The following is a 24,666-nucleotide window of genomic DNA, read 5'->3' as shown; positions in this document are numbered from 1 at the left end:
TAGGATGTAACTACCACAACTAACAAAAATCAACTATCTATATACCTACATATGTATATATTCTATTTTAACCATTTTTTACACAAAAGAGAGCATACTGAACATACTGTTCTGCATCTTTCTTTTTCACTTAACCTTGGACGTCTTTCCATTTCATTTCATAGAGAGTTTCATTGTTGTTCTTTTGGATTTTTTGTTTTGTTTTGGTTCGGTTTGTTTGTTTGTTTGTTTGGGACAGGGTCTCACTCTGTCACCCAGGCTGGAATGCAATGGCGCCATCATGGCTCACTGCAGCCTTAACCTTCTGGGCTCAATTGATGCTCCCACCTCAGCTTCCCAAGTAGCTGGGACTACAAGTGTGCACCACCACACCTGGCTGATTTTTGTATTTTTTGTAGAGACAGGGTTTCCCCATGTTGCCCAGACTGGTCTCTAACTCCTTGGCTGAAACAATCCTCCTGCCTCATCCTCCCAAAGTGCTGGGATTACAGGCATGAGCCACTGTGCCCAGTCTCCTTGTTAGTTTTAACAACTGCATAGTATCCCATCCTGCGGTTATTCCATGATTTCCTTCAATCAATCCCTTATGGTTAGGCATTTGGGTTGTTTTCAGTCTTTGGCTTTTCTAGCAATACTGCAGCATACACACTTGTCTACATGTCATTTTCTATGAGTCTCTGCTTTAACCAACTCCCTAGAAAGGGAATTCTGAGGGCAGTAGTTCAGCCTGGCCAAACTGACACATAAAAAGCATCACACCTTCCTCTACTCCTGGGTATGTATCCTAAAGAAATTCTCACAGATGTTCCTAAGGGGATGCATCTGAGAATGTTCATTGCAAGGTGTCATTGGGAGGTTGGTAAGGTAGTTAAAGGTGATGGATGCACTTACCACCATGTGGGGTTATTGGGAGGGGCTTCTGAGGGACTTGGCACTGTGCCTAGCCTGGGGTTAGCGCCCAATGCACGTTAGCCATCGTTGCTGTTCTTCCTTCCTGTTTGCGTAGCAGCATCTTAATCCAGCTCATCGATGCCACGCTGGGTGTCCCTCCTACAGCCACCCCTCTGTGACCCGCCTCCACACAGGGCTGGAGGATCCTGGCAGAGTCTGGGCACTCTTAAGCAGGCATCCTGGATGTAATTCTGGACCACCTCAGCTGGTCTGGAGAAGGGGATTGGCTCCTTCACTTTCTAATAGTTTACCATGCACACAGGGTTGATATTTGACAAACTTGTTTGCTGTGTTCCATAAACATTGAGTGAATCTGCTTTGGCCAAACACTGCTCGTGGCACAGTGGAGAGAGAGGGAGAGATTTTAAAAAACAGAGCTATTAAACACAATTCTGTTTCTATGGAACTGGATATCTAGTATTGTTTGAAAAATGAAATACCTGAGGTGACTGAGCTTGGTGGGGTAATGTTTCCAACAAACAGAAGTATGCGTGTCTGGGCCTGTAAAACCTTTAGCTAGGATTTGGTCCTCACACTCTCCCTGCAGCCCAGGCTCCGGGGCCGCATTTCTGTCTTCTTGGTTCAGCTGCAGGGGTCCCCTAGCAGCAAAGGGAAGTTGTTTTGGCAAGAAATTGGGACTGTGAGATAATGGGGGCCAGTGACCAACAGGATATCTGCCTTGAGCAAGTCCAGACAGGTTTGGGGGCTTCCCAGGGGAGCATGAAGATTGCCAGAGGAGGAGCAAACCCAGAAAGGGCAGGACCCCTCTTTATCCCCTGAGGCCTCTCAGTAACCAGAAGCCAACCTTCATCATCCCTCCCACCGTCCACATACAAAGCACCAGACAGTGGGAATCTCAGGTGAGGGGGAATTTCACTTCCAACTTTATTCCATAACACTGAATTCTTAGAAGCATTTATGAATTAAAACATACTGTTTTTCTTCATCGTGGCATGCTGTGATTTGGAACAAGTTTGGAACCAGGTCCTCCTGACAGACTTTCTCTGCAGCTCCCATGGACTTGCCTCTCAAGGACATCTTCCTAATTGGCTTCCAGGCCTCCTCCCTCACTCCTTCCTTTCCCCGCCCTCAGCAGCCTCCTAAGGGCCCCGAGAGCCTACACAGGGTGCCATGAGGGTGAGGCTCCCCCTGGACCCTTGAATGAGGAGCCTCACTCATCTGCCTGGGAAGGCTGGCCTCCCATAGCACCATGAAGAACAGGGGAGATGTCGTCAGGCACGGCCAAGTGGCTGGGCTGAACCCCGAGGGCTGCAGGGCATAGAGGCTTCTTCCTGGCTGCCCTGGGTCAGTGCCTCCTGAGCACTCACTCACACTGTCAGGGGAGGCATGAGCTGAGTCCCGGAGACGAGCAAGTGAGCAAGCGAGCCAGGGCTCCCCCTGCCCTCCCTCAGAGCACGAACTTGCTGGGAGATGGGTACCTGAGTGAGGCTCACCATCCCCCAGGGCTTCTAGAAGGAGGCCAGAACCGGATCCTCGGAGGCCTGGAGGAGGGAGCGACTCAGGAAGTCCTGCTGGAAGGCCTCCAGCCCTAGTTGCCAGAGGTCCCCTCGGGTTTGTTTGTTGACTCCCAGAATTCCCCAAAAGACCTTAGAAGTCTGAGCAAAAGGGACTGTGGCTTGTCCGAGCCCCCTTATCTTAAAAGCGAAAAGCTTGGGACCGTGGCATTGCCCAGTATGTAGCTCGGTGTCGCCGCCGGTATTTACAGAATGCTCCCCGTGGCACCGACGTCATAACCTGGGATACCCTGGGCTTCTACACAGGCTTTTTGTCTGAAACGCAGGCAGGAGACCCAGAGGGGACCCACGACAACCCAAACACAAGAACACTATTGCACGGTTATTTTACATACTGACTTTGTACATCACTGACTTTGTTACTGTGTGAGCTGTTTTCCAGAAAAAAAGGGGAGTGGTTGTCCCTTAAGATGATCGCTTCTTCTCTGGGGCCCTGGGTGACCCTTTGGTTTTTTATACAGCTTGATGTCTTGGAAGGCCACACACCAAAGTCACACAGCTGATCTGCTCGGGAGTATAGCTCACACACACACAGGCCTGGAGAGTCTGTGGGTCTGGTGCCATCTCAATGTGCATGGCCAGGATGTGGTGACAGCGCCAGCCACCACCCTCCCTGTCGTCCCTTGCAGAGGAAGTTGGTCTGTGCTGCCCACCTGCCGGAGGCTGTTCTGGCCGCTTGGCCCCATGACGCTAGGTGTGGAGCTTGAGTGATAGCAACAGAGCCTGCAGGTGCTTGACTTGTGCTTTCTTCTATTAATAATTCACTCTGAGGCTGTAGGTGGGGCCAAGGGGGTCAGATCTCCCTGCCAGCCCACTTCCCCTCTATCTTTATTCCCACTTTCGCTGGGGCCTCATCAGAGCAGCCGGAGGGAAATCTCCTCCCATTCTCCCAGCCCTGCCCTGCCCTGCCCAGGACAGCTGCAGGGCCAGGGATCCTTTGTTTGGCTGAAGTCCCAGGTGCTGATTCAGAAGGCCCCACGCCCCAAGTTCTTGGGGGCAGGAGTGGAGGATCCTTCCTGTGGGCCCTGGGCCCAGACCCCCTCCAGCCAGGTGCCCTGCAGAGACCTTCCCGGAGTCCCCCACAGCAAGGGTCTGCCTACTGCACCTCCTGGGCCCTGGCTGGAGTGACCTCATCCTTCTGTGAGGCCCAAGCCCTATATTGTGGCTCCCACCCTGTGAGGCCTGGGGTCACCAGTTGTTCTTCTCTGCCTTCCCCTTGTGACATTCCTTGGGGTCCTTTGGAAGCCTCCTCCTCCCCAGATTGCAATCTTAAAGACACAGTTTTGTCCCCTAGCAGCCCTGGCATAGAAGGTCCTCAGTGCGAGTTGGTATAAAAGACTGTAAAGGATGACAGGACACAGATGCTGGTCTGAGCTATGAGGCCTCAGTTAATGTGACTGTAAACCTCATGAGGCCAGGGGCCCTCATGACCTCTCATCTCTCCTGGCACAAAGCAGGTCTTCAATCTGATTGATGATTGATTCTGAAATTCTCTTAGCAGCTCCTCCTTAGGGGACACATGTGATCATGAAAGCATTTGGGTCACTCAGGGAATCACGTGTGGATTGTTTTGATGCTCCTGTGTCCCATCTTCTTTCTGCAGACCTTTCAGCTGGATCATCTGTCAACCTCACCGCCACCAGGTGATGGGGGATGGTATCAACTGTGGGTTGGGAGGAAGCTTCCTGGGGAGCCAGGCAAGCTGGAGTGGTCCTCATCCCTGGCATGCCCCACTCAGAGCCTGTTGCACCTTTCCCTTTAGGCTGAAAGGTGCGGTAAGTGTGGTTGTAAGTTTCCCACAGGATCTCTGTATTTGCATCTGCTACTTTCTCCTTGGAACCATAGGCTGTAGCTGACTTTATCAGTACCGATGTGAAGTTTGTTAATCCCAGGTAACTATGTTGGAGTTTGTTCCATTCTAGTCTCCCAGAGCAGTTTGTCATACAGGAAGTGCTCAGCCACATCAGTTACATCAATTTAACATCGCCTCCCCTCCCTAGCTTCTGTGTGTCATAAAAGGAGAGGTGGAGACCACATTGGTCTCTACACTGCGTGCATTTGCCCCCTAAACAGTCGTCAGATCTATGCAGTCAATACCAACTGGATCCAGAACCCTGAATTTTGTCTCTACAAGTCAGGTTAAGATGAGGCAGAGATTGTATGGATTTTATTCAGCCTCTCTCTCTAGAAAAACTTCGCTTCAATTATCTGGATGTAGAGAAAGCCATGACTGAAGTCCAGAGAGGGCAAATGACTTGCCCAGGGTCACATGGAGTCAGTAGAACCAAAGCCCAGGGCTCCTGTCTTCTATTGCAGTCTTCTTCTTCTTCTTCTTCTTCTTCTTCTTCTTCTTCTTCTTCTTCTTCTTCTTCTTCTTCTTCTTCTTCCTTCTTCCTTCTTCCTTCTTCCTTCTTCCTTCTTCTTCCTTCTTCCTTCTTTCTTCTTCTTATTTATTTATTTATTTATTTTGAGATAGGGCTAGCATGCAGTGGTATAATCACCACTCACTGCAGCCTCAACTTCCTAGGCTCAGGTGATTCTCCCATCTCAGCCTCCCAAGTAGCTGGGACTACAGGCGCACGCCACTACACCCAGCTAATTGTTTGTAGAAATGGGGTCTCACTATGTTGCCTAGAGTTATCTTAAATTCTTGGGTTCAAGTGATCTGTGGGCCTTGGCCTCCCAAAGTGCTGGGATTAGAGGCATGAGCCACCACTCTCAGCTTTTTCCAATGCTCTTCTAACTACCCCATATTCACAGAGCCAAAGCCCATGTTCCTAATCTCCCTACAATCCTAGCCATGTCAGGACTGCTGCGGGACAAACCTGTATCTTTAAGCTCACAATCTGAGGGAGGATGAGGCTTCAAAAAGACCCCAAAGAATGTCACAAGGAGAAGCAGAAAAGGGCAACTGGCAACCCCAGGCCTCACAGGGTGGGAGCCACAATATGAGACTCAAGCCACACAGGAAGGAGAGGTCATCCCAGCCAGGGCCCTGGAGGTGGAGCAGGCAGAACCCTGCTGTTGGATACTTAGGGAAGGTAGTATGAAACAAATGTGTCCAGGAATATATCAGCAAGGCCCACTCAGACCATGGCTGCCTCCTCCAGGAATTTACCCTAGACTCCTGCAGCTCCCACTTCTCTCCCCATGTCCTTAGTTTCCATACTGCTCCATGACAGCTAGGAAGAGAGAGAAGTGGCATATGGTAGTCACAGGGGGGAGACGATGTTAAAGTCCCTGGTAAAGAACTACAGCCAGCCCAGAGGAAAGATGGCAGTGACAGTGACAACCAAAAAGTGAAATCGGTCCAATCTCTATTTCCTAATGAGGAGCCACCTGCAGGAAGCAAAATCCAAACCCTCCATTTTGCAGGTTCCTGAGCTATGCGTCGGGCTTCCTACTGATCCCCAGGGCTTGGAGGGAGCAACTGATGCTACAGGGTGAGACCTGAGGGTAGAGAAATGAATGTTTCTTGCTGCCCAAAGGGAGCCTTGAAAATCCTCCCACAGCCCAGAGTCAGCAGGAAAGCCAGGGCTGTGAAGGAGTAAGAGCAAACCACTCACTGCAGGGAGGAAGATTTAGATGCTAACCACTGTCATTGGCAGCACATGTCCACAATAATCGGGTTACTGGATTATAAAATACCCACTGGAATTATTTAGAAGACTAATCAGAAAGCATTTAGAACAACAACGGTGCTAAAAAGAAGACGGCGAACTGCGGCCCACATCCTGGAGAGCCGCCCTTGGCTCCTGCCTGCTTAGGGGAGCTGGGAGTGAGCTGGACTAAGAGGAGCCCCAGGGGAGTCGAGTGAAGCTTCCTTGACAGAGCCGAGAGGAAGGCTGGACTAAAACACAAGCCAAGGCATTTGGAGAATTGTGTATACAGTCTCTAACTGACTGCCCGGGGTCAGAAAAAGGAAAATCTTTTTGGTTTTTCTTCCTCAAACAAGCAATGGTGGTCTGGCCGGAGCAGGGTGTTACCCCTTCTGAATTGTAAGCAAACAAGTCCTGCGGAGACCTCCGCCAAAGTCAACTTCCTCTCCTGGTGTATCTCTCTGTCTGTGTCTCTGGTTCAAAGGGTGGCCCTTAGGACAGATATCCTTCTTGCAGACTGCGGCCTTGTCTCCTGGTGCCCCAGGCCAGGGGGTGGGGTGTGGAGAGACTTTGATGCTCTAGAACAGGGGTCAAGCAAACCATGGGTCAGGCCAGATCCAGCCCACACCTATTCTTGTACTGCCTGTGAGTGAAGAAGGATTTTTACATTTTTAATTGGTTGAAGAAAAATCAAAAGAAGAACAGAATTTGGCATGTGAAAATTATGTAAAATTCAAGTTTCAGCGTCCATAAATAAAGTTGTATTGGAACACAGCCACGCCCATTCATTTATATATGGTCTGTGGCCGCTTTCACGCTACCGTGGCAGCGTTGTGACAGAAACCATATGTATGGGCCCCAAAGCTGAAAATATTTACTAGCTGGCCCTGTATAGAAAAAGTGTGCTGGGAGGTCTCTGTAGAGCCTTGTTATTATCTACAGCACTCCATAAATTTGGTGCTTTAGGGCACTATGCCCTCAACAGAAACTAGTAAATTCTGTCCCTTAGTCCATGTCAGAGGCATGGGACCTGCAGAGGGGAACAAGCCACTCTAGGTCTCCTTTGCCTAGCGCAGTGTTGCAGTTCAGTGAGCGTTTGTTGAGCATCTGCTATGTCCCAGTCCCTGAGGACACCACATGGGCAGGCTGCTGTCCCTACATCACAGTGACTGGGCAGCCAGTGTGCAGACAGGCACGGAAGTGGGTCGCCTGACTGTGACATGGTCAGTGCAGAGGAAAAGCGGTCACAGGCTCTGTGGGAGCGTGGAGTGGCACCTTAGGTTCTGAGTGGGCATTTATTTGTTGAGCCCACCCTGGAATCCTGGAGTCCTGCTCTAAGGAAGAAATTGACCGAAGAAATGGGAAGGTAGCAGTTCTGTTAATTAGTTCATGAATGAAAAAGCTCCTGGTACAAATTACCCAGTAGAAATTGTTACACATAATGAGCAAAACAGTTACCTTGTTAGAAAAATAATAAAGACTTGAATCCTGAGTTGGTATTATAAGAATTCTGTGAGATTGACTAATCCACTAAGAAGAACAGTTTTCAGGTTTTAAATGATATGTTTAAAATAGCCTTTTGGCAAGATGCTAAACCACGGCGTAGCACGCTACCATCTGTATAAGACGGGCTGTGCATTAGTGTTCTTGTATGAGCATAAAGTGTCTCTAGGAGGATATATAAGAACCTGATTGACTGTCCCAGAAGGGGTACTGGGTGGCTGGGGATGGGGGTGGAAGGTGGAGGGAGACTTTTCACGCCCGTATTTTTACAATTTGCATGCTTTTCACTTTATTTACAGGCATTTATTTAGGATAATTTTTGCTGTTTTGCATGTCCATTTTAACCTTTTGAATTTTGAACCATGTGAATATAGTACCTATTCAAAAAATATTACATTTAATGTAAAATAAATAGCACATGTTTTGCCATTATCTCCCTATGGTGTTTTAGGAAAAATCATTTTCTCTTTCTCTCTCTCTTTTTTTAAAATTTATTTTTATTTTTATTTTTTGAGACAGGGTCTCACTCTCTTGCCCAGGCTGGAGTGAAATGGCTTGATCTCGGCTCACTGCAACCTTGACCTCCCAAGTTCAAGGGATTCTTGTGCCTTAGCCTCCCAAGTAGCTGGGACTACAGGGGTGCACCACCACGCCTGGCTAATTTTTGTATTTTTTTTTAGTAGAGACAGGGTTTTGCCATGTTGGCCAGACTGGTCTTGAACTCCTGGCCTCAAGTAATCCCCCTGCCTTGGCCTCCCAAAGTGCTAGGATTACAGGCTTGAGCCATTTTCCTCTTCTTTCATTGAACAAATGAGGCTTGATTTTCTACCATTAGCGAGGCACTGTTCTAGGCCCAGAAATTACCTCTCTGGGCCTCTGTTTCTCTGTTTCCTCATCTGTAATGTGGAGAGACTGGATCATCTCTGGGGCAGAGATCTTCAACTTAAGCGTGCATCGGACTCACCAAGAGGGCTCATTAAAACACAGACTGCTGAGCCACAGCCTGAGTTTCTGATTTAGTGGGTCTGGATGGGGCCTAAGAATTAGTATTTGTTATTTCCCAGGTGATCCTGGGGCTGCTAGCCCAAGAACCACACTTTGGGAACCCACCTAGGGTTCCATCTAGGGTTCTGTGCTTGTAAATAAACTATATTCCAGTTCTGGAAATGTCAACAAATAAAGAATAGCCTCCTGCAACTCAGAATGCAAAGTAATCCCTTTCCCTAGCAGTTTGGGAAGACTTAACAAAGCAAACATGTCAACAGAAGTTCAATTATCTAGCTTCCATTCTACCCACAGGGCCATAGGAGAGAGACATGAAATCAATAGTGCTCAAAGTCGGGTGAGTTTCAACAAGTAATTCTTCCTGAGTGTGGTGACTTTGTATAAGCCTTTTAAGGAAGGCTAAGTGAAGAGGTTTAAGCCTGGTAGAGCATTCTGAAATAGCCAGGCCTAATGCCCAAAGGATAATACTGTTGGATGTCACTTTAAGGCCCACTACAACTTATCCTTTTCTTACAAATGTAGCCTGATCATTGGTGAGTTCTGGACAAGGACATGATGTCCCAGCATGAACTCCTGCACCTGACTTTATGCCTTTGTTTATGCTGTTCCCTGTCTGGAATACCCTTCCTGGTCCTCTCCACCTCTGTAAGCCCTATTTGTCTATCAGGACCGAGGTGCAATCTGACTATGCTTCATGAGAACGTAAGAACTTCTTGATCTATACTGAGTGTCTTTTTCTGCCTGTCTAAACTCACTGGGATATTTGATCATTGTTTTCTAATTTTTTCTCATTTGTTGATTTATTCATTCAATAAATACTGCCCTTCCTTCAACAAATCCTTATTGGAGTCCTACAGTGTGCTGGGCATTATGGTTGGTTTGAGGAAGAGACTCCTAGGTAAAAATAGACCTGATTCCTGCTCTAATAGAGAAAGATCCATTAATCAAATAATTGCACTGGTGGAAGTGCAATTACAAGCGGAAGAGAGTAGTCTAAAGGAAAGGAATATGGTTTTATGAGAACATATAAGAAAGGAATCTGATGTAGACTTGGGGATTGGGGTCAGAGTGAACTTTCTGAGAATGTGTAGTTTGAGCTGAGATCTGAAGGATACCCAGTGGCGGGGAGGAGGGGAAGAGCTCTCCAAATGGTGAGGGGGCATCATGTACAAAGGCCCTGCAGTGGAAGGGAGCATGGCAGGTTCAAGGAAAGAGCTCTCTGAAAACAGCATCCAGTTTGGGAGAGATGATGTTGAATTGCCTTTGAATATGGACGTGGTGACGTAGAGTAGGCAGCTGATCAGGATCTCAGACCATCTGAGCTGGGGGCAATCTTTGGGGGTCAGAAAGGATGGGTGGTGGATGAGGCTATCAAAGGAGAGAATATGTGTGAGGAAAGGAGTGGGTGTCTGAGACTGGGTCATAAGCCCCAGTGGGCCAGAGCATTTCAAGGAAGGAGAGTTGCTTCCCACTGGCAAGACAGGGAATGTTTCTCTTATTTCTCCCTCTCTCCCTGCTCACTGTCTTCTGAGTTCTGGTCTTAATTATGCCTCACCTGGATGCAGCAAGAGTCTGCTAATTCAGTGCTTCTCAAATTTTCATCTGGACATGACTCACTTGGGGGTGGGCATCATCTCAATAAAATACAGATTCTGATTCAATAGATCTCAACTGGAGCCTGAGATTCTGCATTTCTAACCAGCTCCCAGGGGACCTGGACCACCCTTTGAGCAGCGAGGTTCATTAGTCTCCTTGCTTCTGAAGCTCAGCACTCTCACGCCCAGCATCCTTTCACTGCTGCAGCCATCCTTGGCCACCCTCCCCTTCCACCCACGGCTCGCCTTCCTCCACCCTTCACTCCACCAAATGCAACCCCTCATCTGAAGTTTTCCATCTCTTTCTCTCATAGTTCAGAAAGGGACAGACCAACTCAGCTCACTCCCAGGTAGAAGGGTACGACTGCAGTGGTCTTCAAACTTTTCTGTTTAAAATCCTCCCTAAAAGAATCTTTTAAAACTCTTTGCCCCTTCATACAGTTTTAAGTTTACACACACATTTTTTTATGATACATTTGCTGAAGATACCATTTCCAGTAGGTTGTAAACATTGATATTTTTAAGCAAAACTATTACATCACTGTTTTAAATTTATCCAGTGGAATCTAAACACCATAGCAATTTAATACCTCCCGTCATCCATTTTAAAAACGCATGAACACCCTCTTTAATAGTCAGTGTTCCTTTTTCTTCTGGAAATTGTATTTTCATTTCACTTGCCCTATGGAATTTTATCCTAATGTGATATGTGTAATATATTTTTATGCTTGGAACTTTTTCACTTGTTTCCCTACCATATTTTTCTGTAACAATTTTATATAAAGTTGAAACTTTTTTAATTTCCTAAAATCAAAAGATCTAAGTATTAAAATGTTCTTCTGGTTTGAGTTATCACAATTATTAATAGTACACAGTTGATCAAAACATTTAATGTATTACTAATTTGGATAAATTATAAACATAAATAGTTAAATTATATTGAAAATGCATCTCTAAATGAAATGGTGGTACTGGGTAACTTTTTTTGGGGGGGGTGACTTTTTAAAATAAACTTTTTTTAATTGACATACGACATATACACCTTTATGTATATGACCAGGTCATAGTGCATAGCTTGAATTACAGCAGAGTGAGAATGACCATGCAGTTACCATCCAGGTCTAGAAATAAAATATTGTTGGTGCTGAGCTATATTTTCAATTTCATTATCCATGGAAGAATATTATTTATTACTAGCATGAGACAAGGATCAGCATTTATTGTGTTTCCATTTTTCGTTCTCCCTGGTGTAGTACATGAGAAGTTTGCCCTTCTTTTCGTAAAGGAGGGTGATTAGGAAAGAGAAGTCCTAAAAGGACAGCTTGCACCTCTGCCATCCATGAGTTCTAGAAAGAATTTCAAGTTGAGGATGTAGAAATTGAACCTCTTTTTTTTTTTTTTTTTTTAGATGGAGTTTTGCTCTTGTCACAGAGCCTGGAGTGCAGTGGCACAATCTCGGCTCACTGCAACCTCTGCCTCCCGGGTTCAAGTGAATCTCCTGCCTCAGCCTCCCAAGTAGCTGGGATTACAAGCGCCTGCCACCACGCCCAGCTAATTTTTGTATTTTTGATAGAGACAGGCGGATCATGAGGTCAGGAGATCGAGACCATCCTGGCTAACACGGTGAAACCCTGTCTCTACTAAAAATACAAAATTTGGGCTTGGCGGCGGGCACCTGTAGTCCCAGCTACTCAGGAGGCTGAGGTAGGAGAATCGCTTGAACCTAGGAGGTGGAGGTTGCAGTGAGCCAAGATCGCATCATTGCTCTCCAGCCTGGGCAACAGAGCGAGACTCCATCTCAAAAAAAAAAAAAAAAAAAAAAGAGATGAGGTCTTGCTGTGTTGCCCAGGCTAGTCTTGAACTCCTTAGCTCAAGTAATCCTCGCCTCAGTCTCCTGATAGGTGGGGGTACAGGTGCGTGCCATCACACCCTGCTTCTCTTATTTTTACCTTTTGATTACATGCATCGTTTTCCCCTTTGTAATTATTTATGCGACTCATCACCTTTTCTAACTACATGCTTGAGAGCAGGCCTATGTCTTAGTCATTTCTCCGCATTGTGCCTTACAGTTAATAGGTGTCTAATAAATATGTGTTGAACAGATAAATTGATTAATGCATATCTTAAACTTCTTTATATTTCCCACAGGTCCTAGAATAGTGTTGGGCTTTCAATAGCAGGGTCTCAGAAGAATGGATGAATTAATCAATGAACAAAACAATGAATTAACAAATCAATGAACTACTGAGCCATTGAACAATGGCTTGAAAGTAAGAGAGTTTGCATCTCATGTGAGAGTTAAGATCTGCAGACTCAGTGAAAAGGGTGTGGAGTGCATGACACTGGCTATTTCTAATCGAGTCTCCTGTTTCATATATATATATACACACACACAGAGAGAGAGAGAGGTGCGGTTTTATGCTGTCACCTAGGCTGCAGTGCAGTGGTGCAGTCATAACTCAGTGCAGCCTTAAACTTCTGGTCCCAAGTGATCCTCCTTCCTCAGCCTCCTGAGCAGCTGGGACTACAGGCGCATGCCACCACACCCAGCTAATTTAAAAACATTTTTGAGACGGGATCTCCCTATGTTGCCCAGGCTGGTCTCAAATGAACTTCATGTCTCAGCCTCCCAGGTAGCTGGGATTATATGTTTATTTTTATCACTGGTCATGGTGGATATCAATTGCTCATCACAAAACATCCAAATAAATCCTTTCCTGTCTTTTGCATCTTGCCTTGCAGGTGTGAGCGACGTCTCCTCACCACAGTGCTGTGTGGTCTATACCTCAGCCAGGGAGAGGATGTGAAACCCCCCGCCCTGCACATGAGTGGTACAGGCCAACAGGAACACCTGGCTCCAGCCACGTTCACAGACATGTCAGCCGTGGAGTAGTGCTGACACTTTTCTCTCAGCTTCTCAGGGTTTCAGTCCTTTTGGGTTTGTTTTATTTACCTTTTTTATGGTTTTGTGGCTGGACGTTCACAACCAAGGCAGACAGCATGGGTGACCAGCAACTGTACAAGACCAACCATGTGGCCCATGGTAGTGAGAACCTTTTCTACCAACAGCCACCACTTGGCGTCCACAGCGGGCTGAACCACAACTATGGGAATGCAGTTACAGGGGGCGGAATGGATGCCCCTCAGGCCTCGCCAATCTCCCCCCACTTCCCTCAAGATACACGGGATGGTCTGGGCTTGCCTGTTGGCTCCAAAAACCTTGGCCAAATGGATACCTCGAGGCAGGGAGGGTGGGGAAGTCATGCAGGGCCTGGAAACCATGTCCAGCTACGTGGAAACCTGGCCAACTCAAACATGATGTGGGGGGCACCAGCCCAGGCTGAGCCCACTGATGGCTACCAATACACCTACTCCCAGGCCAGCGAGATCCGGACCCAGAAGCTTACCAGCGGTGTCTTACACAAGCTGGACTCTTTCACCCAGGTGTTTGCCAACCAAAACCTGCGAATTCAGGTCAACAATATGGCCCAGGTGCTGCACACTCAGTCAGCAGTGATGGATGGAGCCCCTGACAGTGCTCTCCGCCAGCTGCTGTCTCAGAAGCCCATGGAGCCCCCAGCACCGGCTATCCCTTCCCGCTACCAGCAGGTGCCCCAGCAGCCTCACCCTGGTTTCACTGGTGGGCTGTCCAAACCAGCTCTTCAGGTCGGGCAGCACCCTACCCAAGGGCACCTGTATTATGACTACCAGCAGCCTCTGGCTCAGGTGCCAGTGCAGGGAGGACAGCCACTGCAGGCCCCACAGATGCTGTCACAGCACATGCAACAGATGCAGCAGCACCAGTATTACCCACCGCAGCAACAGCAGCAAGCCGGGCAACAGCGTATCTCCATGCAAGAAATACAGACGCAGCCGCAACAAATTCGCCCATCACAGCCACAGCCGCCGCCACAGCAGCAGCAGCCGCAGCAGCTACAGCTGCAGCAGCGGCAGGGTTCAATGCAGATACCTCAGTATTATCAGCCCCAACCCATGATGCAGCACTTGCAAGAGCAGCAGCAGCAACAGATGCACCTGCAGCCTCCTTCTTATCACAGGGACCCTCACCAGTATACCCCAGAGCAGGCACACACTGTCCAGCTGATTCCCCTGGGCTCCATGTCCCAGTACTACTACCAGGAGCCCCAGCAGCCCTACAGCCACCCCCTCTACCAGCAGAGCCACCTGTCCCAGCACCAGCAGCGTGAGGACAGTCAGCTGAAGACCTACTCTAGTGACAGACAGGCCCAGGCCATGCTGAGCTCCCATGGGGACCTGGGGCCTCCTGACACAGGAATGGGAGACCCAGCGAGCTCAGATCTGACCCGGGTCAGCAGCACCCTCCCCCATCGCCCCCTCCTATCCCCCAGTGGGATCCACCTCAACAACATGGGGCCTCAGCATCAGCAGCTGTCTCCCAGTGCCATGTGGCCCCAGGTATTCTCCCATTGGAAGTTTCTCTCAATACCCAGTGTGCTACAGGGTCAGGGCTGAGTCTGCAGTGCTCAATCCTCTCTCCAAGCCCCCTCAACCCTTTTGTTCTTTACTAATTCCACAAACATTAACCTACATGTGTCACGCACTGTCTGTGCCAAGCACTTGGAATACAAAATCAATCTCTATTAAGTCCTTTGGCCATGGAGCTTATAATCTACTAAGGAGATGGCCAGAGTACCACATCATGCCCTAAATGATTCACGTAATGGTCAAGACCTTGAGTCACATGCCAGGGGACCACACAGTGTTGGTGTCTCAGTTCCCTTGGATCTGTGTGCTCTGGATATGCTCTGTGACATTGGTCCCCCTTTGGGAGGGAGACCACGTTATGACAGCATTTCTCAAAGTATATTGCTCAGAACAGCCATTCCACAGTGTTTAATGGATATTGCTGGGGAAACAGTGGGTTCTCAGGATAAATACACCAGGGTTTTTGTTTTTATTTTTGTTTTTGTTTTTTTTGAGATGGAGTCTCACCCTGTAGCCCAGGCTGGAGTGCAATGGCGCCATCTCGGCTCACTGCAACCTCCCCCACCTCCTGGGTTCAAGTGATTCTCCTGCCTCAGCCTCCTAAGTAGCTGGAATTACAGGCACACACCACCACACCCAGCTAAGTTTTTGTATTTTTAGTAGAGACAAGGTTTCACCATGTTGGTCAGGCTGGTCTCAAACTCCGACCTCATGATGCGCCTGCCTTACCTTCCCAAAGTGCTGGGATTACAGGTGTGAGCCACTGTGCCTGGCCCCTTTTTTCTTTTTTTAGACAGGGTCTTGCTCTGTCACCCAGGCTGGAATGCAGTGATGCAGTCATAGCTCACTGCATCCTTGAACTCCTGGGCTCAAACGATCCTCCCACTTCACCCTCCCACATAGCTAGAACTACAGGTGCATGCCACCTGGGCCTGAGCACTTTCTTTGGTTTGGTTTTGTTTTGTAGAGACAGGTCTCCCTATGTTGCCCAGGCTGCTCTTGAACTCCTGGCCTCAGGCGATCCTCCTGCTTTAGCCTCCCAAAGTGAAACAGGGTGCTGTACTGCAGGACTTTTTGTGACCTTTAATATGGTAGTATGCATTGTGAGTCTCGCAGATACCATGTGTGATTGTGGAGATGAAAACCTTAGCTGCCCACATGATCCAGGCTGGGAAAGTAAATAAGCAAAACTGTCTGGTATGAGACATTAGGCAGTGGTGGTGACTGTGAACTAGAGAGCAGATGCCCCATCCCATAGCATTCTCATTAAGGGTTTTTAAAAAACAGTCTAGCCAAACAAACATGTCTGCAGGCCGGTTCATCTTGTGCACCATGATTAACCCTTGATTTGTTCCCAAAAATATTTGACCAGAAAACAGCCTACTATGTGCTGGGCACTTTTCATGCCTTGGCTTATTCCAAGGCATACAGTCACATGACAGCAGTGTCTGAGGAGGAGGTGACCCCAAATGGGAACTGGTTGGATAGAAAGAAAGTTCTGATGGAGGTTGAAGGCCAGAGATGAACTTCCCCTTGAGTTTGTTTTGTCTGGGGTTCAGAACCAGTGGTAACTGAGAGCCTTTGTAAATATAAGAATGAGATGATTTGGCTAAGGCTTTTTAAGAAGAATTCCAGGGCCAGATATGGTGGTTCACACCTATAATCCAAGCACTTTGGAAGGCCAAGACAGGAGGATCACTTGAGCCCAGGAGTTCGAGACCAGCCTAAGCAACATAGCGAGACCTTGCCTCTACAAAAAATCAAAAATTTAGCTGGGTGTTGTGGCGCACACCTGTAGTCCCAGCTACTTGGGAGGCTGAGGCAGGAGGATTGCTTAAGTCCAGGTGGTGGAGGCTGCAGTGAGCCATGATCATGCTACTGCACTACAGCCTGGGTGACAGAGCAAGACCCTGTCTCAAAAAAAAAAAAAAAAAAGAATTCCATCAGGGGGTCTCCTGGCATAATGCTGCGTCTCCCACCTCTTTCTTCTGTGTCCCTTATGGGAATGGAGTCTGTCTGTGCACAGAGTGGGTGCCCTGGGAGAACAGGAAAAAACACGGTGGGGGAGTTGCATCCTGGTGGGCTTGTTGTGGCTGGCAGCAGCTCCAGGAGTGGGGCGGTGGTCCCAAGTCAAGGAGCAATTCAGGGACAGAAGTCAATTGCAGAAGAGTGAGGGAGTGAGTGGACATGAATGGGGTCAGCACGAAGCAGACAGCAGAAAGAGTCCTGGAAGAGTACCTGGTGTTCCCACTGCTCGAGGACTTCTCCCTTCAGAACACGTTTTTTTCTCTTCTTTTTTTCGGTGTCCTGTTTGGCTCAAAATTAGATGCACCTACCTGATGGGAGAGCCCAGCCAGGGTCCCCTGAGTCAAGGTAGGATGAGTGGAACCTTGTTGGTATTTTGGGAGACGGGGAGGATTTTCTGGGGTGTCTCTCATGATTCATTTTTAAATTCCAAGTCATTCCTCAAAGAAGTGTGTAGAAATAATAATAGCAGCTGTTGTGTTTGAGTGCATACTATGGGCTAAGCACTAGGCATTATGTATAGTAAAGTAACCTATGAGGGTGGGTGTGATTACGATGTGCCTATACTCAGTAAGCACTCAATAATTGTTAGCTATTATGATTGTTACTTTACAGATGAGAAAACTGAGGCTCAAAGAGCTTAAGGTTACATATCAAGTAACAATGCTGGGATTGACTGCAAAGCCCATGTTCTGTCCACTGTGCATTCATTCAGTATTTATTGAGTGCCTACTGTGTGCCAAGCATAGAGCTAGGTTTTGAGAATGCAGCAGTGAACAGTACAGACTTGCTTCCTCATCCCATGGGCATGGTCAATAAAGATTTAGCCAAACCTGATAAACTGCTGAAGCGTGCAGTACGGCGGCTGCCCCAGGAACTTGCACAAATGTCTCTAAGTGGGGAGGCTTTTGGAGGAGCTGGGCTCAGGCTGACCCTGGAAGGGTAATAAGCTATCGTTCCCAAGTCAAAATCCATTGCCTGAAGCCTTGGTATGAAGAAGGACATTTTGTTCAATTCTTGCATGACTTTGAGAAGGCCTTTTCCCACTCTGGAGCCTCAGTTTTTCATCTATAAATTGAACTTTGTTCTCTAAAGGGCACTGGGGTGATACAAGTGGTGCCATGGACAATGGGATCATTGGATGAATGAAATGGGTTTGTGGTGGGTATGAGGTCTTGTGGCAAGTCACTGTTTCCCCTTCCTCAACGTATGTGTCCTCTCCATTTGACTCTTCCCTTGAGCAGTGGCCAACCCAAAGGAGCGTTTGGGGAGCAGTTTGATGCCAAGAACAAGCTGACATGCTCCATCTGCCTGAAGGAGTTCAAGAACCTGCCTGCCCTGAATGGCCACATGCGGTCCCACGGGGGAATGAGGGCCTCCCCCAACCTCAAACAGGTTAGCAGGAGCCAGTTCCCGGTCCTTTCTAGGTCGTGTGCTGCTTGCTTTGCTTTGCTGCCGTCAGACAGAGAGTGATGTGAGCCCCATGCGGGACCTGGCGAGGCACAGTCCTCCCTTGACAGGAATGCTTAGGCTTTGGCGCTGGGAGCCAGCCAGGTCAAGCAGCCCCACTTCCCCAGCTTTATGATGAGCAAGGGTCAAAATCAGAGGCGCTAGAAAGCCTTTTAGGGCATCCCAGCTTCTCTCTCTGCCTCCTGGAGAAGACAGCAAAGGAAAACATGTAAATGCAATATTATTTTTAAACTTCTGCTGCTTGACACACCCAAGACCAGGCCCACTGGGGCCTTCCAGATTAGTGGTCAATTGCCAGAGAAAGCTAATATAATCATCAGGCTCTCAGCCAGAATTTTCTATTTACTGATGCAGTGGTGTTCAGCTCAACATCCAAAGATCCTTAAATACCCTCTGGATTATCCAGGTAGGATATCCAGATAGTAAACTATCCACAAATTTTAGAGTTAGATTAAAATCAAAAAATTTTCTCAGAATTATTTTAATATTGTTACTCTTAATTTAAATCTATGGGATTAAATCTCTGTTGAACAGAATTTTTGATTACCCAGATCACTCCATCTCCTGGCCATGCCAGATTATGTTTTTTAAAAAAGCTTTTGTCTTTACTTGTTAAAAGTACATGTTTTGTATCTCCAGTGTGGTTTCCTGACCTGAATAAAATTTAGGATGGAATGCCTATTTCCATTTGACAAATGAGTGAACTAAGGCCCATAGAATTAAAAACTCCTACACAAGATCGTACCTTCTTTTGGACTGATTACAAGTCCGTGTCCCTTTCTTTAAAAGCATGACAACCACACAATTTTTTTAAAATAGTTTAATACACAAGTAATGCATGGTCAAGAATTTTTAACTGTAAAAAATGGAGTCCAGCCTCTTCCACCATCAGCTGGCATCACTCCAGCCAAGGGACTCAGGATTGCAGGAAGGAAATCGCCCTGCAGCGGTTCTCTATCACCCATACCTGATGTCCTGGAACCTTTCGGGAAAAGCAAAGTGCATCCCCCTTGTGAGAGCTGCTCTCAGCCCAGGATCAAAGCCTTTATTGTCTGTGTAGGAGGAAGGAGAGAAGGTCCTGCCGCCTCAGCCCCAGCCACCACTGCCGCCTCCGCCTCCGCCTCCGCCGCCACCACAGCTCCCTCCCGAGGCAGAAAGCCTCACGCCTATGGTCATGCCCGTGTCTGTCCCTGTCAAGCTTCTCCCGCCCAAGCCCAGCTCTCAGGGGTTCACCAACAGCACCGTTGCCGCCCCCTCCGCCAGAGACAAGCCAGCCAGCTCGATGTCGGACGACGAGATGCCTGTGCTCGTGAGGATGACCCTCTCTCCCCCACACTCACCCCAAGGGGCTGCCCCCCGCACGCCTGCTGTGAGTTGCTGCTCTGCCCCACCTGCCTGGGTGGGGACATCCCTTTGCTTTCTTGGAGATGGGGCGGCCCTTCCAGAGTCACTGACCTGAGCTTGGATACGGCTTGGTCTCTCAGGGCTGAACCCGTGGCCACATTGGGAACCCTACCCTTGTTCACACTGCCTGCTCCCCATTAAATGCCAAACTAATGGCCTAGGTTAGATTCTGAGAGACCCGAAAGTGTTCCCAGGTTTAAACAGAGACGATCATTCAGCTGGGAGTCACTGAGACAATCATAGCCATTATTGAAATATGGAAGTCCTGTATCCCAGAAAGTAAGCAGCTGTTGCCCCAGGCCCTGGCCCCTTCCCCAGGATCTCCAGACCTCCCAAATCCACAACCAAAGAGGTAACCACTGGCGCAGCAGGCTTCCAGGCAATAGCCCTGGCATCCATTCTGACAAGCAGCCTTACCAGTTGCTTAATATTTTTGTCTGCTTAAATACCCTGGAGAACCTAATTCGTTAAAGTTCCCAAAGTAGTTCCACTGAGAGCCACCCACCCCTAATCTCAGGAAAGCAAAGAGATTTGTTTTTCTCACTCACTGTTCTCCTTTCTCCAATTTTAAGTGCTTCACTCAAACAGCTTAATTTGCCTCTGGGAAGGGTTTCCGTCTGTCTGTCTCTCTCTCTCTCTCTCTCTCTCTCTCTCTCTCTCTCTCTCTCTCTCTCTCTCTCTCTCTCTCTCTCTCTCTCTCTCTCTCTCTCTCTCTCTCTCTCTCTCTCTCTCTCTCTCTCTCTCTCTCTCTCTCTCTCCTCTCTCTCTCTCTCTCTCTCTCTCTCTCTCTGCCCCTAGGGAATTTGTGACCTGTGTGGTTGGCAATATCAAACCTACCCCCTCCCCACAAAGTGGCATGTTGGGTCATATTTGTCCTTAGGAATAGGTAGCTGCTGGGAATCCAGGAGGCATAAGGGTAGGCTGGGCCAGGGTAGAGGGAGAGAAGATAATGAATACAACTAGAAAAGTACAGAAAAAAACCTTTATGGTGTAATATCAAGTCCTCAAAAGAAGAGAAACTGATGGAGAACTGGGGGGAAGATTCTCATAAGCCGTCAGGACTTGGGGGTCAGCAACAGGCAGAGAGATGAAATGACACATCCAAGCTCCCTCTTTGCCCAGGGAAGTTCGTGCTTTGGCAGGAGAAACAGTGTTTCCTTGGGGAAATAGTTCCCTTGGGGAACTCTCAATTAAGAGTTCATAGTCACATGGGGGTCAGAGTCCCAGGCACACCCCCCCCACCCCTTCAAGATGGTAAGAGAAAGACAGGGGCAGACAAGAAATTGATGCTTTAAGTGTGACTGGATGAGAATACACCTGGGTAGCCAAAGTCATTATGGACTGGGGAGGGGCAAGGGAGTTTGCTCAGGAGATCACCATTAGAGTTCTGAGCAGGATTTTGAAGGAAGGGATGAACTTGGCTTAATGGAAGGGTGAGAGAGACCTCGTTGGTGGGGGCGGTAGGCTGAAGTGGAAGCATGTAGGTGGGACTGAATACATGGGAACAAGGCCCTGGCACTTAATGTAAAGAAATTAAAACATCCAGGAAGGAGCCCCGAGTGCCCATCTCAGTTTGGCTCCTAGCCAGCTGGGATGAAGACAGCTGAGACCTGCCCCCCACTCACAGCCTCAGTTTCCTCCCCTGACCTTGATAGGGTTGGACTCATCAGTGGTTCTCATCCTTCTCTGTGGGCAGCTTTTTAAAGTTTTCAGTGCTTGGCCTCACCCCCAAAGTGTCCAAATAGCTTGGTGGGGTGGAACACTGTAAGTGTTTCCTCTCAAGTGACAACCATATATGACATCCTGGGTGGCTTCTCTTGCCCAGTGGCTCAGAGCCTTGCCTGGAGGATCGGAAAATCCAGGTTTAGAGCTGGAGTAACAGGACAAGAAGCTGGAGGAGAGGGAGCCCAAAAGGGACCTCTGGCCCTGTGATCAGAGGTCTGGATTGCAGTGCTGCGTTGAGATCATATAAGGTCTGCATGTTCTTGGATGATCTTATCTGTTACCCGGGAACAGAGTGTATCTTCAGGGCTGCTCCCCTTGGGGGGGGCACAGGCCTCCTTCCCCCATTCTCCTCAGCCCCTCTCTCGCCTCAGCCTCAGGCGCTGAGGAGCCCTCTGGTGGAGAAAAGAGGCGGTTGAGCGCGCTGGCCTAAGGAGGGTCCCCTGGGGGTGAGGCGCGGGGATAGGGGAGGGGTGGGGGCGGGGGTAGTTAGGAACCTCACTCTGGAGCCGGGAGCCTGGGACCCTCTGCCCCCTCCTCCTTTCCCCACTCTCTGCCTCCCTAGACTCCTCTCCTAGAGGCCAGGATGGCACCATGGAAGGCAGAGAAGCTGAGGGAGAAACAGAAGGGGGCAGAGCCTGAAGCTCTGGAGGGAGAGGAGCCCAGAGCAGAGGAGCCCATGGGGCAGGTCACATGGCCTGGAGGCAGATGGTCACATGACCGTAGCCAGCCCTTCCCATCACCCCCTGCTGCTTCCTACCCAGGCGCCACCCTGGGCTCAGGAGTCTCCAGGACCTGCAGCTGTGACTGGCCCCTGGCCTGCAGGGCCTGAGAGGGCACCCCAGACTGCCCAGAACCTTCCCTCAGGTATCCCCGTGGCCCCTCCCAACCACACTGCCTCTGCAGCCACACCCAGCTCTCGACTTTTCTGGGCTGATGCTACCACACAACCCGAGTCTGTTTCTGTTTGGCTTTGGCATGCCCTGCTCATCTGTTTACGTGCCTATGTTTACTTATTAGTATATATGTATCCATGTGGCAGATCCTCCTTCCAGACTATGCTTGGTTCCGCTGCCATTAAAATAAACTAACTCTCCTGACAGGAAGCCAACCTCAGAGAAGAGTTTGCTACAAATAAGCTACGAGTTCTGGGAGCAATAGTGAGGGGTGGTGACGGGGGAGGTTAACCAGATCCGTTTTTAGGTGAGCACATGGAAGGGCCCTTAGAGGTCATCGAAGGCTCTCCCCCCCTGCTGAAAGTGACCCAGGAGAGCCCGGTGTGGGTCGCTGGCCTTAGGAACCTTGGCTAGGCTTGAACCCCCACTTCCTGCCTCACAGGTCTCGGTCCCAGCTTCCCTGAAGAGATTATTCTGTCCCCTTCTCAGAACATGTGGTATCTGTTCCTGATGTCCGTCCCTGGGGAGCAATGGGGGAATTAAAGAGCCCACTCAGCTGGATTCCACTCAAACAGATGGGAATGTAGTGATAAGCAATAAAGAATTTGAATTTATTACTTCTTGCCCACCCACTATTCCTACCACCCCCAGCTCTTTCAGAAATTAGGGATTTCTTCCAAAACCTTAGTTTTCTCCCTAGTCTAGCAACCAGAACTCGCTTTGCCTAAAATGGATGTGGTCAGAATGTGGGGGCGTTGGGGGTGGGGGGGTCAAGCAGAAGGGCTCTCTGCTTAGACAGTAGAAGGCCCCCTTCCCTGAACCTGTGGAAATGGCCTGCGGGGGAAGCTGAAGTATTCGAATCAGATCGTTGTTCCGGTTTTAGGAAATCCCCAGGAAGCATCAGCCGAGTGTGCCCAAAGCCGAGGAGCCCCTCAAGACCGTGCAGGAGAAGAAAAAGTTCCGGCACCGGCCGGAACCTCTCTTCATCCCGCCGCCGCCCTCCTACAACCCGAACCCCGCTGCCTCCTACTCGGGCGCCACCCTGTACCAGAGCCAGCTGCGCTCCCCGCGCGTCCTCGGGGACCACCTGCTCCTGGACCCCACCCACGAGCTGCCCCCTTACACGCCCCCACCCATGCTGAGCCCGGTGCGCCAGGGCTCGGGGCTCTTCAGCAATGTCCTCATCTCCGGCCACGGCCCTGGCGCCCACCCGCAGCTGCCCCTGACGCCCCTGACGCCCACACCACGGGTGCTGCTGTGTCGCTCCAGTGAGTCACCCCTTTAGCGTCCTCCTGGGCTCTGGGTGCTGGGTAAAGTCCTGGGACATCTCGTTTTCTTTAGCTTTCTCATTTATCCCACAGACTTTTGCGGAGTATTGGCTGTATGTAGCACGCGCTGCTGGGTGTTAAGAAAGACTTGGAATACATAGCCCTTATCCTCAAGGGAATCGCAGTCTAATTGGGAGACAGATGCATAAAGTGATCACTACAGTCTCTGGGATAAGGAAACAGTTGAAATGTTCACCCACTTTTTAAGGCTGCCAGCAATGATCGTGCAAGAGAGAAAAAATGAGACCGGGCGCGGTGGCTCACACCTGTAATCCCAGCGTTTTCGGAGGTCGAGGCGGGTGGATCACTTGAGGCCGGGAGTTGGACACCAGCCTGGCCAACATGGTGAAACCCCGTCTCTACTAAAAATACAAAAATTAGCCGGGCATGGTGGCACGCACCTGTAATCCCAGCTACTTGGGAAGCTGAGGCAGGAGAATCGCTTAAACCTGGGAGGCAGAGGTTGCAGTGAGCCAAGATCATGCCACTGCACTCTAGCCTGGGGGATGAGAGTGAAACTCCGTCTCAAAAAAAAAAATAACGGGATGTGGTAGCAGGCACCTGTAGTTCCAGCTACTCAGGAGACTGAGGCAGGAGAATCTCTTGAACCCGGGAAGCGGAGGCTGCAGTGAGCCGACATCGCGCCACAGCACTCCCGCCTGGGCGAAGGAGCGAGACTCCGTCTCAAAAAAAAGAAAATGTACTCAGTAGATGTACAAATAAGATTAGGTATTACATGCAAGATCAAGCCTTGACATTTTAGCATGCTTTATAAAAATCAAGCATAGAGAGGCTAGGATCTCTTTCTGGAGCAAGAATAATTGCATAGAAATCATACCGCTTAGCAGACCATTGTGGGACAGCTGGCTTCTCCTCACCCTGTGTGAGAAATGGGTAACCCTAAGTTATTTTGCACCATACTCCACCCAGCTCCCTGGAAACTGTCAAGGATAACTCTGGCAGGAGCTGGGTAGGAGAGAAGCTCTATTATGGCTGGTTAGGTAACTGCTCATTTGCTTTAGTCTTTTTCAACATTCCTTCCCTGTTGACTAGTGACCTCTGATTTTTGTGTTTTAGACAGCATCGATGGCAGCAACGTGACGGTCACCCCAGGGCCTGGAGAGCAGACTGTAGATGTTGAACCGTAAGGAAAAGTCAATTACTCT

At 49.0% G+C, this 24,666-nt stretch overlaps 1 protein-coding gene across 52 annotated transcripts in view, besides 8 other annotated features; it reads left to right on the top strand.

Moving 5' to 3' along the window:
* The window catches only part of TRERF1 (transcriptional regulating factor 1), a 227,294-nt gene that overhangs the window by 169,446 nt on the left and 33,182 nt on the right, over positions 1-24,666 (top strand). For 20 of the 52 annotated variants that reach the window (XM_047419048.1, XM_047419044.1, XM_047419053.1 and 17 more), the window contains 6 exons: positions 12,931-14,625; positions 16,982-17,028; positions 17,925-18,075; positions 19,211-19,459; positions 23,056-23,440; positions 24,578-24,644. In XM_047419048.1, the coding sequence (XP_047275004.1) occupies positions 13,189-14,625; positions 16,982-17,028; positions 17,925-18,075; positions 19,211-19,459; positions 23,056-23,440; positions 24,578-24,644 (2,336 nt within the window). In that variant the 5' untranslated portion in view covers positions 12,931-13,188. Of the gene's footprint in view, positions 1-12,930; positions 14,626-16,981; positions 17,029-17,924; positions 18,076-19,210; positions 19,520-23,055; positions 23,441-24,577; positions 24,645-24,666 lie in introns of all 52 variants that reach the window. The other 32 variants (XM_047419033.1, XM_047419028.1, XM_047419036.1 and 29 more) reach the window with 2 other exon arrangements.
* Positions 2,840-3,352: an enhancer, noted in NCBI's record as "H3K27ac-H3K4me1 hESC enhancer chr6:42247165-42247677 (GRCh37/hg19 assembly coordinates)". NCBI's record gives its function as "activates a minimal SCP1, AML or CMV promoter by ChIP-STARR-seq in naive H9 embryonic stem cells {active_cell/tissue: H9 hESC(naive)}" and the evidence as "EXISTENCE:reporter gene assay evidence [ECO:0000049][PMID:30033119]".
* Positions 12,130-12,695: an enhancer, noted in NCBI's record as "NANOG hESC enhancer chr6:42237822-42238387 (GRCh37/hg19 assembly coordinates)". NCBI's record gives its function as "activates a minimal SCP1, AML or CMV promoter by ChIP-STARR-seq in primed H9 embryonic stem cells {active_cell/tissue: H9 hESC(primed)}" and the evidence as "EXISTENCE:reporter gene assay evidence [ECO:0000049][PMID:30033119]".
* Positions 12,963-13,792: an enhancer, noted in NCBI's record as "H3K4me1 hESC enhancer chr6:42236725-42237554 (GRCh37/hg19 assembly coordinates)". NCBI's record gives its function as "activates a minimal SCP1, AML or CMV promoter by ChIP-STARR-seq in naive H9 embryonic stem cells {active_cell/tissue: H9 hESC(naive)}" and the evidence as "EXISTENCE:reporter gene assay evidence [ECO:0000049][PMID:30033119]".
* Positions 13,132-13,181: an enhancer, noted in NCBI's record as "active region_24547". NCBI's record gives its function as "activates an Ori minimal core promoter by ATAC-STARR-seq in GM12878 lymphoblastoid cells {active_cell/tissue: GM12878}" and the evidence as "EXISTENCE:reporter gene assay evidence [ECO:0000049][PMID:35858748]".
* Positions 13,302-13,371: a silencer, noted in NCBI's record as "silent region_17201". NCBI's record gives its function as "represses an Ori minimal core promoter by ATAC-STARR-seq in GM12878 lymphoblastoid cells {active_cell/tissue: GM12878}" and the evidence as "EXISTENCE:reporter gene assay evidence [ECO:0000049][PMID:35858748]".
* Positions 21,554-22,074: an enhancer, noted in NCBI's record as "H3K4me1 hESC enhancer chr6:42228443-42228963 (GRCh37/hg19 assembly coordinates)". NCBI's record gives its function as "activates a minimal SCP1, AML or CMV promoter by ChIP-STARR-seq in naive H9 embryonic stem cells {active_cell/tissue: H9 hESC(naive)}" and the evidence as "EXISTENCE:reporter gene assay evidence [ECO:0000049][PMID:30033119]".
* Positions 21,567-21,616: an enhancer, noted in NCBI's record as "active region_24546". NCBI's record gives its function as "activates an Ori minimal core promoter by ATAC-STARR-seq in GM12878 lymphoblastoid cells {active_cell/tissue: GM12878}" and the evidence as "EXISTENCE:reporter gene assay evidence [ECO:0000049][PMID:35858748]".
* Positions 22,075-22,595: an enhancer, noted in NCBI's record as "H3K4me1 hESC enhancer chr6:42227922-42228442 (GRCh37/hg19 assembly coordinates)". NCBI's record gives its function as "activates a minimal SCP1, AML or CMV promoter by ChIP-STARR-seq in naive H9 embryonic stem cells {active_cell/tissue: H9 hESC(naive)}" and the evidence as "EXISTENCE:reporter gene assay evidence [ECO:0000049][PMID:30033119]".

This window comes from Homo sapiens, chromosome 6, assembly GCF_000001405.40.
Source record: "Homo sapiens chromosome 6, GRCh38.p14 Primary Assembly".
Lineage (NCBI taxonomy): Eukaryota > Metazoa > Chordata > Mammalia > Primates > Hominidae > Homo > Homo sapiens.
This window is presented reverse-complemented; position numbering and strand designations above follow the sequence as displayed.